The sequence below is a fragment of the Homo sapiens genome, chromosome 16 (genome assembly GCF_000001405.40).
Source record: "Homo sapiens chromosome 16, GRCh38.p14 Primary Assembly".
Classification (NCBI taxonomy): Eukaryota; Metazoa; Chordata; class Mammalia; order Primates; family Hominidae; genus Homo; species Homo sapiens.
Genome location: NC_000016.10, coordinates 27,624,070 through 27,641,869, shown reverse-complemented (window position 1 = coordinate 27,641,869; position 17,800 = coordinate 27,624,070). Strand labels below are relative to the sequence as shown.

General features: G+C 48.7%; 1 protein-coding gene across 17 annotated transcripts in view, besides 3 other annotated features; it reads right to left on the bottom strand.

Annotated features, from left to right (window-relative positions):
• KATNIP (katanin interacting protein) overlaps positions 1 to 17,800 on the bottom strand; it is a 230,201-nt gene that overhangs the window by 138,475 nt on the left and 73,926 nt on the right. For all 17 annotated transcript variants that reach the window (XM_005255201.4, XM_005255202.4, XM_011545775.3 and 14 more), the window contains 2 exons: positions 13,040 to 13,209; positions 10,708 to 10,805 (listed from right to left, as the gene is read on the bottom strand). In XM_005255201.4, coding sequence (XP_005255258.1) covers positions 10,708 to 10,805; positions 13,040 to 13,209 — 268 coding nt within the window. The remainder of the gene's footprint in view (positions 1 to 10,707; positions 10,806 to 13,039; positions 13,210 to 17,800) is intronic.
• Positions 109 to 750: an enhancer, noted in NCBI's record as "H3K4me1 hESC enhancer chr16:27652441-27653082 (GRCh37/hg19 assembly coordinates)". NCBI's record gives its function as "activates a minimal SCP1, AML or CMV promoter by ChIP-STARR-seq in naive H9 embryonic stem cells {active_cell/tissue: H9 hESC(naive)}" and the evidence as "EXISTENCE:reporter gene assay evidence [ECO:0000049][PMID:30033119]".
• Positions 4,550 to 5,050: an enhancer, noted in NCBI's record as "H3K4me1 hESC enhancer chr16:27648141-27648641 (GRCh37/hg19 assembly coordinates)". NCBI's record gives its function as "activates a minimal SCP1, AML or CMV promoter by ChIP-STARR-seq in naive H9 embryonic stem cells {active_cell/tissue: H9 hESC(naive)}" and the evidence as "EXISTENCE:reporter gene assay evidence [ECO:0000049][PMID:30033119]".
• Positions 7,531 to 8,217: an enhancer, noted in NCBI's record as "OCT4-NANOG-H3K27ac hESC enhancer chr16:27644974-27645660 (GRCh37/hg19 assembly coordinates)". NCBI's record gives its function as "activates a minimal SCP1, AML or CMV promoter by ChIP-STARR-seq in naive H9 embryonic stem cells {active_cell/tissue: H9 hESC(naive)}" and the evidence as "EXISTENCE:reporter gene assay evidence [ECO:0000049][PMID:30033119]".

Genomic DNA, 17,800 nt, shown 5'->3' with positions numbered 1-17,800 from the left:
TCTAGTCCTTTGTCCAGAAAAAGGGGGCCTGGACTAGGGCCCTGCTACTCTAAGTGTGGTCCACGGACCAGCAGCATTGGTATCTCCTGGGAATTTGTGAGAAATGCAGAATTCCAGGCCCCTCCTTTGCCTTGGGAATCAGAATGTAAACCTGAGCAGTATCCCAGGTCATTTACACGCACGCACATTCAATTTCCAATAGCATAAGATCAGGAGATCGACAAGGCTTTGTGGTGGAAGCCGTTGCTTCTGCCTGTCCAGCACATACTCCCCTGTGTTTGGTAAAAGCACCCTGTTTTCGCTTTTTGAGATGGTGTCTTGCTCCCCACTTCCTGCCCGGGCCCTAAGAGGTTCACATGGCACTGAGTCCTCCCAAGGGGTGGAAGCACGTGACCCAGGCCTAGCCAATCAGAGCATGCGATTCCCCTGTCCCCCCAGTGATTGGGTGACTGGTTCTGGGGCATGGAAGAGATGTGGTAGCAGGGTGGCGGAACCTAAGTGGGCAGCTGCTGGTGGCTTGTCTTGGTACCACATGGGGCACAGGGGGGGTTGAGAGATGAAGAATAGGTCATTATATCGTTTGAGCTCCTGGACCCAAACGTGCCTGAACTTAAGATAACCAAGAATCGGGATGAACAATTCTGCTAGCCTTGGATTTGAACTGAAAGCATGAAAGAGAGCTCTAATGTTCAAGGAAAGCCCAGGTCTCTCTCTCTCCTTTTTTTTTTTTTTGAGACAGAGCCTCACTCTGTCGCCCAGGCTGGAGTGCAATGGCGCGATCTCAGCTCACTGCAACCTCTGCCTCCCGCGTTCAGGCAATTCTCCTGCCTCGGCCTCCCGAGTAGCTGGGATTACAGACATTCACCACCATGTCCGGCTAATGTTTTTGTATTTTTAGTAGAGACAGGGTTTCAGCACGTTAGCCAGGCTGGTATCGAACTCCTGACCTCAGGTGATCCACCCATCTCGGCCCCCCAAAGTGCTGGGATTACATGCGTGAGCCTCCGCGCCCGGCCTCTCTCTCGTCTGTGGTTTTCCCGTCTTCCCTTTAGCACTACTGCTCACCTCGCAGAGGTGTCAGGACCCAGGTTTGCAGTCGGCATTAAGGCACTGAATCAGCAAGCTTTTACTGAGCGCCGACTGCATACAAGGTTCTGAAAACACAGGAAGATACAAAAAAAAAAAAAAAAAATTAAAAACCAATGCCCTGCCCTCAAGGAGGTCACACAGCACACATAATGGGAGAATGTGTTTATGAAGCAACATGTGACAAAATTAATGTGGTCCAGAAAGAGTTTCTAATGTTGAGTGGGTGCTGGAGAGGGGAATAAATAGTCCCTCCATCTGGCCTGCTCTCCCGCCCCCAGCCCCAGGGAGGCTCCTCTGCCACCACTGGGAGGAGATTGAAAGCAGCCCTGCCCACACGGAAGGCTCACCTCCAGTGAGCAGCCCAGGCTGGCAGGTTCCAACCCAGCCCCCCAGGCCGTGCATGGCTCCCTGCCTCCCACCTCCACGCCCTTGCAAGGGATGATGACTGTGCACCTGGCTAGCTCCCCGCTTGGCACGCTGCTGTACCTGAGTGGGTGTTTCAAAGCGGCTGCTCTTTCTTGCCTACTTGCAGCACCCAGACCTGGGTAGACCCTTGCAGTATCAATCATATGGGGGAGGAGGATTTAAAAGCAGTGACATCCCCAAATCCATGTTCCTTTTTGCAACCCAAGGCCAGCTTATTTCATACCTGGCCCACACTCAGCCCAGTTCATGCCTAGAGTTATTTGTTCATATCTGCCACCCCTCTTCGCAAACTGTTTTAAAAGGTGTGCATTAAAGCTTATTGTCAAGTAGAAAAAAAGAGCAAGGCTGGGGGCTGCCCCATATGGTTGTGTGGGTTGTGCAGTATGCAAATGGCTCCCTCTAGAGGTACGAGAGCTCTAAAACACTGACAAAGGTAGGTCTAGGGTTGGGAGGTCCGGCTGACTTGATGTGTTCATCCCTGATTTGTCTGATCTCTTAGAAATAGCAGTGCTCCCCACTCTGACAGTCTGTGTTGTGCAAGGTCACTGGAAAGGCCAATGCTTTACGGCTTGTTTCATTTGTCGTCCTCACTGCAAGGGTTTCAGAACTCAGAAGGAAGATAACAAGAGACAGGGCCCCCAACACTTCCCATTTTTACTTGTGAGATTTTCTGAAGGTGCTGAAGCTGCACAGGCCACAACAGGACACAGGATATGGTGGCTGAGTGAGAGCAAAGCCTCTGCTTTAATAATTGCAATGAACTTGCTTTAGAGACCTTTAAGGAACGCCCACCCCACAGTAAATTGCTGGAAGGCCAATCCCTTCACTAGCAATTTAATGCTAAGAGCCGATGACGTTCATCAAATCTGACAGCATTTTGGTAAACGACGGCTCTGTTGATTAGGCCGCTGTCCACCCAAGTATTACAAGGCTGAGGAAGCCATAAATCTTAATCCACAGATAGCAGCATAAAGATCTAAGGCCCAGAAGTGGTGGGGGGAAAAGGACAGTATGAACAAGAGGCCATACATCACCACCAGCCCATTCCACAGGGAAGGTGGCAGCTCGGGAGCCCAACACAGCCATCGCCATGATCCTCCCCAAACCCCCAGGAATCTGAGGGGCTTGGGAAGGGTTTTACAGGTGGAAGTCATCGGCTTCTTGGCCAGGAGCCAGAGTTGGGATGACTCTGTGACCTTCTGGTCAAGGGATCTGGAGGCCAGTGTACCTGACGCAGCCCCTCCTGTCAGGGCAGCTCTACCCAAATGTGCTTTCTTATTGTTGGGTGAGACCGTAAGAAGAGAAACCTGTTCTCCTGGAGGCGGTGAATGGATTGGGCTTGGTCAGTAGAAACAGGGTGTGTGATTCAAGAGAGTTTCAGGGCTGGGCGCAGTGGCTCACGTCTGTTAATCCCAGCACTTTAGGAGGCCAAGGTGGGTGGATCGCATGAGCCCGGGAGTTCAAGACCAGTGTGGGCTACATAGCAAGAACCTGTCTCAAAAAAAAAAAAAAAAAAAAATCCAGCAAGACAGCCAGGAGGAGAGTACAGAGGGTGAATGGGGAGGCAAGGGGGCTGTGTGGACTGTGAATAAGGCTGGGACTGCAGGTGCTCACTGTGCACTGGGACCACTGCATCCCACCACGGTGTCCCCTGCTGACCAATGTGAATACACAAGGCGACCGTGTGGCCCCACTGATACCTCCTGGTTGGCATGGCCCTACAAGTGAAACCCCAAGACCGGGAGAGGACTGTGGTCCCTCTCTTGGTGGAGCAGCTTTTGAGAACTGGCCACTGGCCACTGGGGACTTGGCTGCCTTGACCACTCTGCCTACCTTGGCTGCCCCTAAGCATGGCAGGAGCCCATCCAAAAGGGTTAGGATAGAAAGATTGTCTTCCTCTCCATCCCATGGACCCAAGACTCTGTCTCCATGGACTGTCTACCATGGAGAAACTTTGGACTTAACTCCACTTCTTGGAGCCAGAGCAAACCAATCCAGCCTGTCTTCCTCATGACGGTAATAATGGTATAGCTGGCACCCCCAGTCTATTCACTCTGCTACCTCCAGCCTTCTTGACAAGAAGCTATAGGACTCATGGTTCCTGCTCATGTGGCCAGGGCAGGCAGGGTTTGCACCAAATGAACTGGTCTCTGAGGGGCTCTAGTCATAGCCGATGGAGGTAGGAGGGGGTGCCTCATCCAGGCTAAGCAGCAGCAGCCCAGGCCATGCCCTGAGAAAGGGATGAGCTGAGAGATTCAGACTGTCTCTGTCTTGGAAACTTTCAACTAACAAATATGGAGGGAGTGTAAAACCGTGTGTGGAGAAGGCACGATGGATCAGGGGAACACTGAAGCTACGAGTTGGCGGCAGCTCAGGGACAGGGAACAGAAGTGCAAGGACGGGGGCTGGGGAAGGTTGGTGGAGAGAGACGTAGCCCTGCTTCAAAGGCTTCCTGGTCCTCCTGTAGCCCCTTGCTCCCATGGGCGGTCCTTTCTGCACACATGAACCCAAAATATGAACCCAAACGTGGCGCTCTACTGTTTCAACCCTCTTGGAAATTCTCACATTTAGATTGAAATCCAAACTTCCTCCTGTGGTCTTCTAGGCCCTGCATGGCCGGTTCTTCCTACTTGCAACCCTGACACCCTCATCCCCACCCTTTCTGCCACCCTGTCCTGATCGCCCTGCCTCCTCTCAGCCTGTGCCCAGTGCCCGCTGCTCTCACTGTCCCCTCACCTGAAAGCCTCCCCCAGCCACAGATCTTTCCGGGGCTGGCTCCAGGTAACTCTCAGGCCCTGGCTGCGATGCGGCCCCTTGGGAGGCTGTGCTGCCCACCTTCGCTGAAGGAGCGCTCCCCCGACAGCTTCTCTTTCAGGCTGCTGTCCTCTGTCCTTCCTTCGTAGCACTGTCTTCCGACTCCCTTGCTTGCCTTTGGTCCTTTGCCTTCCCAACCTCCCCACCCGCTCCCCATCAACATGAGCTCCAGGAGAGCAGGGCTGGCCTCACTTATTGCTTGGAACCCGGCATCTGTAAGTGCCAAAACTGAGTATGTGCTCAATACATGAGCACGGAATGAAAGAAGTAAAGTATGAGTGAGCAAAGGAACATACTAGAGTGAAGAGCCCTGAGGCCTCCAGGCTGAGCTGCCCTCCCCATCTGCCCCTCTGTGATTAAAACAACAACAGGCAGCACCATTCACTATTTCTCCTGTGCCAGGCACTGCTTCAGCTTCTCTCCAAACACAGACCCCACTGATCCTCATTAATTGCCCTCATTAATTACCATTACCAACCTCACATGACAAATGAGAGCGCAGGCACCAAGGGGTTAAGCGTCTTAGCCACTGTGCAGCTGGCAGGAGGCGGAGCCAAGGCTTTGCACTGGGGCTGCTGGAAGGTTCCAGGGTCTATGCTCTTAGCCATTCCTCTGGACTTGTCTGTCACCTGTTCCCACCTGAAGCAGCAGGCAGCCCCTGCTGAGACCACCTGTAATGCACGCTGCACATGCTCCCCTCCAGCAGCCCTGGGAGGTTTCATTGATGATGAAACCAAAGCTCAGAGTGGTTACACGGCCAGCTCCAGAGCACACAGCTCACAGAGGTTACATGGCCAGGTCTGGGGTGCACAGCTCAGAGAGGCTACACAGCCAGCTCCGAGACACACAGCTCAGAGAGGTTACTCAGCCAGCTCTGGGGCACACAGCTCAGAGAGGTCACATGGCCAGCTCCAAGACACACAGCTCAGAGAGGTTACACAGAGAGCTCCAGGGCACACAGCTCAGAGAGGTTACACAGCCAGCTCCAGGGCACACAGCTCACAGAGGTTACACGTACATAGCTCAGAGAGGTTACACAGCCAGCTCCAGGACACACAGCCAGTGAGCAGTCCAAAGCCTACTCCTTCCACTCTCCAGGGGCTACAAATTCAAATGCCCCAAAGAACCAGACGGGAAATGGAAACACGAGATAAGAGAAATCATAGCCTAAATCTGATAATAAACCACAGCTACCACTCAGCCTCACCACTGAAGCTCTGGGGAGTGGTGGGGACTTTGGCAAACAGGAAAGCTCATGCCCTATCCAAAGGCAGTAGCTGGACTTGGCTCCTGCTGCTGGCTGCCTAGTGGGGAGGAGGATGGCCCAGCGTGGGGGCCAGACTTTTCCATTTTTTCCAGGGAAGAAGAGATCTAGATTTTTGATTTTGAGATAGGGTCTTGCTCTGTCCCCCAGGCTAGAGTGCAGTGGTGCGGTCATGGCTCACTGCACCCTTGAACTCCTGGCTTCAAGCGATCCTAACTGTCTCAGCCTCCTCAGTAGCTGGGACTAGAGGTGTGCGCTACTATGCCTGGCTAATTTTTTTATTTTTAGTAGAGATGGGACTCACTATGTTGCCTGGGGTGGTCTTGAACTCCTGAGCTCAGGTGATCCTCCTTCCTCGGCCTCCCAAAGTGCTAGGATTAGAGGCATGAGCCATTGCACCTGGCTAGATATATTTTTAATATAAAATCTTGTTAATTTAAATGTTGGCAAGCTTCGAAAAGTCTTTTAAAAGCTGTATGAGCCCAACAACCATTATCTGGGGGCAAGTTTGACCCACAGGCTTCAAGTGGTTAACTTCTGGACCCCGCCAGGCCCGCCATCCATGTATTTGAAGTCAGGTGTCACACCCTCCTCCCAGTTAAGCAGTCCCCATGTCTTCACAGCCCGAGCTTCAAAGGCAGGAACTGAGCCTTCTTGAATTTTTTTTTTTTTTGAACCCTAGAGCCTTGCACAGTGCCTGGGCCCTGCTGGGTATCAATACATGTCTGTTAAATTAACAGATGATTTCATTCATGACACATGTAGTTCATTCACCACTTTTGAATGCTCCCTGGTTTGTGTCTATCTTTAAGGTTGGTTCCCAAAAGCCTGGGTGTGTGGAGCAGAGTCCATGCTCTAGACTGGAGGGGGCCGGCTCTCGGTACCCATCCCACACTCCTCCTGGGGAGCCTTTCTGTGGGGTAGAGGCCAGAAAGCCAAATACTGCATTTCCCAGACTCCCTTTCTAAAGCTGTCCTCACAGGGTTAACAAGAATTCTCACAGAATATAGTTATAATTCAGCATTAATCACTGCACTTTGACCCACTTCCTTGTAACTGAAATTCACTGGATACTGACCATTAGCATTCCCATTATTCCTTATAGATTTCTGACTGTAGAATCATTAAGGCTTTTGTTTAAGAATTGCTTAAGATGTTTTTCAGATCTTAAATTCCAGCAAAACAACTCACGCTAGCCAGTTTGAAGGCCCCCCACAGAAGAACGGGATCTGCGTGAGAACACAGCTTCTTCATCTCCCTGTCCCGTGACTTCCCCCTGCACTCTTCCACCAATCAATGATCTCCACACATCAGCCTACTCCAAAACCCTTAAAAACACTGGCCCCAAACTCCTCCGGGAGACAGATTTGAGGTTTCCTTCCATCTCCTCGTTTGGCGGCCCTACAATTAAATCTCTCTCTCTGCTGAAACCCAGGGTCTATGTGTATAGACTTGCCAGCATCGTGCAATGGACCTATTATGGTTACATTTTGGCTTGGGTTCTGGGTGTGATTTAGGTTCAGCCAATCAGATGGCCTCACACGAGCCAGGGAAAGCAGAAGTGAGGTGAGGAGAGGAGGGGGATAGATGTTGGCTGTTTCAGTGCTAAGCACAGGGCATGGAGTTCTTCCATAATGTTCCTGACTGGCTAGCCAGGCTGCGGGGCAGGGTCTTCATAGCGCTGTCCCAGCAGGCATGGAGTCACTCTGAGGCCAACAGCTGGGGCAGTAACTCCCTGATTCCTGGATTGCAGCTAAGGTGACACCTTCCTGATGCTGATACCCCACCTTCCCAATGGTGTCCTAGGCAGCCGCTCTCCTGGCAGGCCCAGGCTAAGTGGCCATGCTTTTGAGGCACCATTCCTAGAGGCCCAGCCCAGAGTCCCCTCCTCATGCTAGCCCAAGGACTTCGTAAGCACCCGACTCCCTGCACTGCATTTGTTTCTGCTTAAAATAGCCTGAGTGGTCTCTGCTGTTAGGCACTGACTGACCCCTGACTGATACAGTGTAGAAGGACAATTACAGCCCTCGAGGCATCAGGAAATCAGGAAATTAGCTATGATTAGGCCCTGTGAAGTGTGGGACCACAAGGAGAGACTGAGGAGGATGCTAATTAATCTTAGGCCAAGTTTTTTAAATTGCACAGACTCTAGGGCCAGCTATTAAGCCACAATCTAAGACACAAATATGGCTCCTGATAATAGAAGGCTCTCAAAACAAGTAGAAGAACTGTCTTAAGTGAGAAGTGAAGAAAGGCCTCATTAGCAACAAATTAATATTCATTGCAGGGGACAAAAGGAGGCCTCCAGGCTGTGTGTCCTCCAGGCCTTGCTCCTCAGCACTGAGATCAGGCAGGGACACCCTTCCCCAGTTAATCAATGACTTGAAGATGCCCCTGTGGGGAGGCAGAAAGATCACTGGGTTTATAACCACAGCCCAGAGTTCAAATCCCAGCCTGCCCTCTTCCTTAGTAGCTATGCAACTCTAAGGAAGTCACCTTACCTCTCTTGGCCTTGATTTCTTCAGTAGCACAATGAGGACATTTTCTGACCTACAGGATTATTGTGGGTGGGCTGATAAAGGGTATGAAAGCATTTAACTATAGACCCATACATTTAGTACAGTGTGAAATCGTATGTGGTAGTAGTTCCCAATATTGGTGAACACAAGTTAAAAAATAACAACAGGCCTGACGTGGAGGCTCATGCCTGAAATCTCAGCACTTTGGGAGGCCGAGGCAGGAGGATCACTTGAGGCCAGAAGTTCAAGACTAGCCTGGGTAATATAGTGAATAAAAATAAGTAAAAAAAAAATAAAAAATATATAAAAATAAATAAAAATGTATTTAAATTTTTATTTTATATAAAAAAATAAAAAATATAGTACAAAAATAAATTTTAAAGAGAAAAAATTACAGTAATTTAAAAAATAACACTGCTTAAGCCTCAGCAAGTCAGAATCTCCGGGGGTGGGGCCTGAGCATCTATATTTTAAAACCTCCCTAGGCCATTTAAATGTACAGTCAGGGCTGAGAAATAAAAAGAAAATCTCAAGATCCCAGCCAACTGAATGAACCCCTTCTTGGCCAAGGGGACCCCAGAGAAACCTTACAACTGAGTTCCCAGCAATGATGGGACGGGAGGCCAGACATGCCTCATTATATCCCCTCCCTCCTTAACCGCCAGGAGGCTTTCTTTTCTAAGGGTTAAAAAGAAACCAGCCCTTTTCGGCCGGGCGCGGTGGCTCATGCCTGTAATCCCAGCACTTTGGCAGGTTGAGGCGGGCGGATCACCTGAGGTCAGGAGTTCGAGACCACCCTGGCCAACATGGTGAAACCCAGTCTCTATTAAAAATACAAAATCAGCCGAGTGTGGTGGCAGGCACCTGTAATCCCAGCTACTTGGGAGGCTGAGGCAGGAAAATCGCTTGAAACCGGGAGGCAGAGGTTGCAGTGAGCCAAGATCACACCACTGCACTCCACCCAGGGTGACAGAGCGAGACTCTGTCTCAAAAAAAGAAAAAAAAAAAAGAAAGAAATCAGCCCTTTTCAAAGACTCCACCACTGGTATCAACCAACAGCCTGCTGCCCCTCCCAACCAGCCTGCCTGCTGCCCCTCCCTTCTGTGGTTACTACACAACTGACCAGCATTTCTTCCTGGTAAGGGACCACTGACCATGGAGTGGTTCTGACCCCTCTATAGAGGATGCACAGTGAGGGTTTCCGTGTCTCCCGATTCGCCTTTTGACATCAGAAGGCCAAAACCTCCACCCTCAGATCCTGCTAATGCCGCCATTTTTTGACGATGGGATCCATGGAGAGGCATGAAGCTCAACTGCACATGCGCATATTTCTCCTTTCATAAATATTCATAACTCCTCCTACAGCTTACTGAATATGTATATTGCGCCACCTATTCAGCATAAATCCGTCTTATCCCTCTGAACTTCAAAGTGCAGTTTTCTGGCTTCTGGCCTGAGGCTGTGTTTCCTAGCCTGCCGGAATGGCCACCCGGGAGGGAGGCTGCCACCCTTTCTGAGAAATAAAGCTTTCCTTTCCAAGTGTGTGAACCTCGTCATTCTTCATTTGACGGGGCTGGGACCTGCTGGTCCCCGGTAAGGTATGAGTGACTATGAGGTAAAATATCCAGAACTATATGAGCAAGAACACAGAATTTGGGGCAAAAGATCTAAGACTGACTCTTGATTCTGCCACTTCTTAGCTGTTGACCTTGGAAAACTCACTGAACTTTTCTGAACCTCCATCTCTTCAGCTCCTTATAAAGAGGGACAATATTGGAACATACTCTACAGTTCTGCTGGGAGGGCAAAGGAGACGAGTTACATGGGAGCTGAGCCTACGTGTGGTACCTGGGGTAGATGCTCCAAAATGCAAGCTCCTGACATCAGCACACCAGCTGCAACCCAAAATGGCATCTCAGTTCCATGGGGCAGGGGCTTTGTCATATGCACCCACTGTATCCCTGACATCCAGAACTGTGCCTGGCACATAGTGGGTACTCAATAAAAAAATAGCTGAATGAATGAGTCATCATGATGGGACTCTGAGTCTGACCTTCCTATACCCCCAAGTGGGGCTGGAGTGGCCACATCCAAAGGGGAGGGCCGTGCAGCAGAGCGGTCTCTCCAAAGGTCAGTTCCACATGCAGAAAGGGCACACTACCATGCCCAGCCAGACCCACCTACTCCCCATAGGGTGTTTTTTTTTTTTTTTTTAGACAGGCTCTTGCTCTGTTGCCCAGGCTGGAGTGCAGTGGTGCAACTGTAGCTCACTGCGGGCTTAAACTTCTGGGCTCATGCAATCCTCCCACCTCAGCCTCCTGAGTAGCTGGGACTAGAGGTACGTGCTGCCACACCTGGCGAATTTTTTATTTTTATTTTTAGTAGAGATGAAGTCTCACTTTGTTGCCCAAGCTGGTCTCGAACTTCTGGGCTCAAAGTGATCCTCCCACCTCACCCTCCCAAAATGCTGGGATTGCATAAAGGAGCCACTGTGCCTGGCCCATGGGGGTTTTAAATGCTCTGATTGTATTTCTATTCCCACAGCCACCCACACTCTGTATTCTAAAGCGTGGGCTGGGGCCACAGTCTCCAGACCTGGTGCCATCCTCGGCGCTGGACTTTACTGGGGGCTGTCCGTGAACTGCGTCTTAAGGCTTCTTCAGCTTCTCGAAACAGAGTTCTTCGTCCATAATCTGCACCAGAGACGAGGGAAGGAGACTTGGTGAGGCACTGATGACAAGCTCACAGTACTGGGTTGGTTTGTAACTCATGTCTAAAATGCGTATCAGTGTGCCCAAAGTCTTGTGTATGAGGACATTGACTACAGCGTGGTTGTGGCAACAAGACATCAGAAAACAAGCTAAATGTTGAGCAAAAAAGGAATGGGTAAATAAGTTCCAGTATATATATCCATGCCATGGAATAATATGTATAATATATGGCCGGATCAGGCAGGTCTGTATATACAGAGAAGAGTCTCTAAGCTACAGAGACAAGGTTCAGGACAGTAGGTACAAGAGGTCACCATTTGTGTAAAAGAGTGTAGAGGGTGAATCTCTTTGCTGAATGAATGAATGAATGAATGAAGGTACTGCTGGTGTTCCAAGTACACAGAATCCTGTTATCTGTTCCTCCCTGAAACCTGGACCAGGAAAAGCTGAATTCTCCTTACTAGCAGCAGCAGGTCTGCCTCCACTGTGAAAACTAGGAGAGCCACTGGTTTCCCTCTTTGCCCTGGGGGCTGGGGAGCTCAAGCTACACTCTGAGTTCAACTGTAGTGGCTCTCCTAGGAAACCATTTCAGGAATCATTTTCTCTTCTTGCCCTTTTGTTGTTGTTTTGACTTTTACTATATATTAATGGCTTGGGATCTTACCATGTCTGTGAGGCCATAGATTAGAATAACACAAATCAGTTACTGTGTGACAGACAGCTTACATTTCTTACATCATTTAATCTTCCCAGCAAGCCTGCAAGGTGGGCATAATTATTCCCATTTTATGCAAGAGGAAACTGAGGGTCAGAGAGGTCCTAACTGCCTAAGGTCTCAAAGCCAGAAAGTGGCAGAACAGGGTTCATTCAAATCCAGTCTGCCTCATTCCAGATCTTCTTGTAACTTGCTTGGTAGCACACTGGCCTCTCCAACAAGGCAGCCTACCTTAAAGGCATTCTGACAGCTACTTGGGATAAGCAGTCTCGCCAGTCCCATTTTATTATTGTTTTTTAAATATTTATTTATTTATTTTGAAACAGGGTCTTGCTCTGTCACCCAGGCTGGAGTACAGTGGCATAGTCATAGCTCATTGCAACCTTGACTTCCCGGGCCCAGTCAGTCCTCCTGCCTCAGCCTCCTGAGTAGGTGAGACTACAGGCATGCACCACCATGCCCAGCTACTTTTGTATTTTTTGCAGATACAGGGTCTCACTATGTTGCCCAGGCTGGCCTCTAACTCCTGAGCTCAAACGATCTGCCCACCTTGGCCTCCCAAAGTGCTGGGATTACAGGCCTGAGCCACCATGTCTAACTGAGTCCCATTTTAAAGATGAGCAAACAAAGGCACAGAGAGACTAAGTGGCTTCCCCATGGTATCCTGACTCCACGTGCTCTGCTGTTTCATTCATTCAACTGCCCAATCATTTTCCGTGTCTATGCTAGGCTGGGTTGGGAATTTTTCTATTACACACAAGCTTCCTGTGGTTTTCTTATAGGGCACGTGAAATCCATTTAAAGTATGCACAGTATAGATTAACTAAATACAGAAATGAGTGGTAAAATCAAATATTACACAGGGGTTAGGTACTAAAGTTAAAACATACTAAGTGAAAAATCAGATATAATCCAAAATTTCCCTAGACATTTCCTTAAAGTACTGACTTAAGACCCAGGAAATGTAAAAGCTAGAAATTTACTGCTTTGGCTGCCTTTGCTCTGGGGTAGTAGAGGCCAAGACTAGTTTAAACAGGAATAAAACAGGATTTCTCTTTCTCATTCTTATGCTCTCTTTCTGGCCATGCGGGTGTAGTTAACTTGTGTTCGTTGTTCACATGCACAGGATGTGGTTCCATAATCCCTATTTTTTTTTTTTTTTTTTTGACAGAGTCTCGCTCTGTCACCCATGCTGGAGTGCAGTGGTGCGATTTCGGCTCACTGCAACCTCCGCCTCCCAGGTTTAAGTGATTCTTGTGCCTCGGCCTCCTCAGTAGCTGGGACTACAGGTGCATGCCATCATGCCTGGCTAATTTTCGTATTTTTAGTAGAGATAGGGTTTCACCATGTTGCCCAGGCTGGTCTGGAACTCTTGGCCTCAAGTGATCCACCCGCCTCAGCCTCCCAAAGTGATGTGATTACAGGTGTGAGCCACTGCACCCTGCCCCTAATTAATTTTGATTAACAGAGCTGAGACTCAGCCTGGAGGGCCTGTGCTCACCGTGTGTCCCCTCCGTGTGGGAGGCACTTCTGGAGAAGTCAGAGTGAATAGCTTTCCGCGGTGATGATTTCAGCTCCGAATTGGCACCGTTGACATAGACAGAGAAACCTTGCTCCAAGTGCTCCAGCCTCAATTGCACGGGGTCCTTGCTTTTCAAATGCTTTAATATCCTGAAAGAGAAACGGTGGGTTGTTCCTCCTCATCATTTGAGAGTCTGGGCTGCTGTACCCCCAAGCCAGGAGTGAACTGCTGTTCCCACAGTGAAGCGTCTCTAATCAGAGCCCAGGGGGCGTGTGCCCAGCTGTTTGTCTACAAACAGCCTCTGACAGGCCCATTACCCACTTAGAGAAGCCACGAGGGGCAGACAGTTTGGGGCCCTACAGGGAAGTTTCTGCAGCTCTCATTCTGAGGCTCAAATACACATTAGCGAAAAAGAACACACCCAGTTCATGCCCCGTGCTGGCCAAGGCAGAGAGGAGGCGTGTGTTTACACACTGCTATCATACAGCCTGGGCTTTCTGAAAAGATCCCAATTTTATGCAATTTCACTTTGTGTGAAACTTTGTTTGATGTGTAACAAAAAGGGGTTTTTAGGCTCTCAGGCTTTGTGAGAGAGATTTCATACCACCCATTTACAAATCAGAAAACAGCTTTCGTCAGACCAGGTGGGCTAACGTTTTGCTTCAGTGAATAGATGTGTTCTCAAAACACTCACCCCTGATATTTCAAAGGCCATCATGTCATATTCTAATGCAGTTAAAAAATATATCAATGCAGGCGTTGGTTCAAGGTTAACAATAGGATTATCACATCTTTTGGCTAAAAGGCAGGAGTGTTGCCAGGTCCCTAATTTAGCTTTCACTGAAGCCCATCCTTACACCTTGGGCCTGGTCCTTTACCCAATCCTGATGTCACACTGCCATATGCAGAGTACAGTGTCTTCTTCAGCCCCCAGAGAACTGCTTCCATTGGACGCCAGACTCGCCTGCATTTTATACACAGCTTTAGACACTCCTACATCAACAACATTTATACAGACAACCAGCCAACCTAGCAACAAGTGTGCCTCTTCTTCAGTAATTAAATAAGTGCCAATCAAATTAGCAAAATTTAAATTTTAAAAAATAATAGCAATCACATAAAAGGTGCATACTGTATGCTAAACTCTGTTCTAAAAACCTAAAGTCGATTCTCATTATTCGCAGTACGAGCGGTCTAGAAAGTCACCGTGAATTCTGAATTAGAGAATTTGGAACTACTGCTTCTAGAGGAAATACAGGGTCAGGTGCCTGTGAGTCTTTGTTCACATTTTCATGAACCAATCAACACAGAACCTTGTGTATGTGTGTTTCTGTTTAAAGATGCCTTATTACGCCGTTGATTCATTCACACCAAACTCACAGCCAAAAGCACTATCACTCATGCCTGAACAAAGCTTCCTAACATATGTATTTTCTTCATAAGGCATATCACAGCCTCATGCTTAGGAACACTGAACAGCATTTCTGCACTATGTATAAGGCCAGTTTAAGCAACGAAATCACCAGCAGAAAGCACAAAAATGTGAAAAACATGGCACTACGTACAAGGCAAAAAGGACACTTGTTTATAGTATGAGAGGCAGAGAATTGCCTTGTTCTATATCAGCTGGGAACGTGTGTATCGGGGGACTAAAGATGTTGCCTCTCTGCACGTGTCTGCAAGTGACCGCAAAAATGCAGCAAGTATTGACTGTGGGGTTACAGATCAGTTTTAATGATGACACAAATTCACAGACAGAAAGTCAGAGAATAATGATGATCAACGATATGAAGAAGTTACTCTTCACAATAATCCTACAGGGTAACCACTTTTTTTTTTTTTTTTGAGACGGAGTCTCGCACTGCCACCCAGGCTGGAGTGCAGTGGTGCGATCTCGGCTCACTGCAACCTCCACCTCCTGGGGTTCAAGCGATTCTGATTCTCCTACCTCAGCCTCCCAGGTAGCTTGGACTACAGGCATGTGCCACCACACCTAGCTAATTTTTTTTTTTTGCGTGTGTTTTTAGTAGAGACAGGGTTTCACCATGTTGGCCAGGCTGGTCTTAAACTCCTGACCATCTGCCCACTTCGGCCTCCCAGAGTGTTGGGATTACAGGCGTGAGCCACTGTGCCTGGCCATAATCACTTTTATTATCTCCATTTAGTAGATAAGGAGTATAAGGCATAGAAAGGTTAAAGAACTTGCCCAAGGTCACATAGCTATTATAGTATGTGGCAGGGGTAGAATGCAAACTTAGGCAATTTGGCTCCAGAGTCTACACCAAAACGAAGACAACTTGTAAAGCTAGCAAGATGATGTTGAAACTGGCAAACTTAGACATCGCTGGTAATTCATAGAACCTTCTCAGAAGTAGTATGAAAATATAGAAAATGCCATATGTTTGGTCTTTGCCCAGTAAGCACATTCCGGCAAATTGTTCCTAAGCATATGAACTCTGGGCAAGAAGATAGTCAGTGTTCAGTAATAACAAAACTCTGGAAGCAACCCAAATGTCCAACACCAGAGAAGTGGAAGCTGCTATTACACAGATGTTATCATTATGAAGACTCTATAGAAACATGGGGGACTGTGATCTGTTCAGTGGGGGGCGGGGGAGTGGTGATGAAAAAGGCAGAATAAAAATGATACAGAGGCCAGAGCACAGTGGCTCATGCCTGTAATCCCAGCACTTTGGGAGGCTGGGGCAGGCAGACTGGACTGCTTGAGCCCAGGCGTTCTGAGATTAGCCTGGGCAACATGGTGAAACCCCGTCTCTATAAAAAATATAAAAATTAACTGGGCGTGGTAGCGTGCACCTGTGGTTCTAGCTACTTGGGAGGCTGGGGCAGGAGGATGGCTTGAACTGGGGAGGTTGAGGCTGTAGTGAGACATGATCATGCCACTGCACTCCAGCCCGGGTGACAGACAGAGACCTTGTCTCCAAAAAAAAAAAGAAAGAAAGAAAAAAGAAAAGAAATGAAATGAAAAGAAAAAGGCATATGTAGTAAAGGTAATGTTGGAAAACTGTGTGTTTGTGGACCCAGTGTGGAAGGTGATAAATGTAACATGAAATGAGTTGTTGAGGGAAGGTGGTGGCATTGTGGGTGATTTCTTTGTTTATTTTTTAAATGTTTCTTTAGCAGCTGATACATTCATCTTTTCACCAATTGTGGCAGGAACATTTATTACAGGCTGCTTATCTCTTGCCAGCCTTGGAAGCCTGGGAGATGCCTGATTGTTGGGCAACAACATAAAACGGAAGAAAAACACAAGTAACTAAGAGACAATTTCCAAACACAGCAATAGCTACGCTTGCAAGAGCAAACAATCAAGGGACAATGTAGGCACCGTCAGTCTCCAGGGAGGGAGCAGGAGCCTAGGTCCTGGGAGGCCTGTGGCGGGGCAGAGTGGGGAATCTGATCACCCAGGCAGACAGCCTGCCTCAACTTCTCTCCCTGCCTTCTGATGCCACGTTAACAGTCACGGCATCCAGCTATCCAGGATCTGAGACTGGCAGTCCACGGGTGCCCCTCCTTAGGCAGAATGATTTATGAAAATGTAGATTTATGAAACTGATAAATTAGGAGATAATTATTCAGACTGGAAAGGAATTGCTAAAGGAACTCCCCTACTGCAATGGAGTGCATCAGTAATATCCAGGTGGCATCAAAGAAAAGTGTTTTTTAAAAATTGATAGCCTACTTTGCATAAAAAGCTGTCCTGGGCAGAGGGGACTCAGATAAATCAGATTCCTCTCCTGCCCTATCTAAAATCGAACTCTTCCCTCCTGCTGCCCTGCCACCCTCTACTGGCTTGCCGGTTCAACTTTTTCCAATGGCACACTATCACTGGCTAATGTTATATTATGGATGTATCTGTGTATTTGTTTATTCTTCTTCCCCCGCACTGGACTCTGAGCCTCTGTCCTATGGGCCATGGTGCCTGCTGAATGAGGAAAGCTCTCAATGGCTATTTCTTTCTTTTCTTTTTTTCCCGGGTCTTGCTCTGGTGCCCAGGCTGGAGTGTAGTGGTGTGATCACAGCTCACTGCAGCCTTGATCTCCTGGGCTCAAGCAATCCTCCCACCTCAGCCTCTCGAGTAGCAGGGACTACAGGTGCGTGCCACCACACCCGGCTAATTTTTGTATTTTTTTTTTGTAGAGACAGGGTCTCCCTGTGTTGTCCAGGCTGGTCTCAAACTCCTAGGCTCAGTGGATCCACCCACCTTGGCTTCCCAAAGTCCTGGGATTACAGGCATGAGCCACTGCGTCTGGCCTCAATGCCTGTTTCTGGAACAAGTGACCCCAAGGATCTCAAGTTGGGGCAGGAGACATGGATGAATACCCTAGTGCTCACAGCTACTATTCACGTGATGCACACCACACCCATCATTTCCATTTTATGCCCATGTTGGCCTTTGGGATCACCTGCACAGATGAGGAAGTGAAGGAGTGAGTGGGGAGTACAGGGTGTGATGAGGCAGTCTAGGGACCTGACATGGCTGGGGCTGGGGTGGTTCGGGGAGGAGTCTCCTCCTCGTGGGCCACCGGGGCAGGGACCTAGATGGCAAGGAGGACCCAGTGAACACAAGGGCCCTTTGAACACAAAGTTTCAAAGGGAAACTTACAGGAAAACTTGCCCACAAAAGTGCTGGGCCTGCAGCCCCAGGAGAAGATCCAGGCAGAAAGAAGGAAGGAGAGAACCAGCATCACTGGGGGCCTCACCTGGACCTTTGTCTGA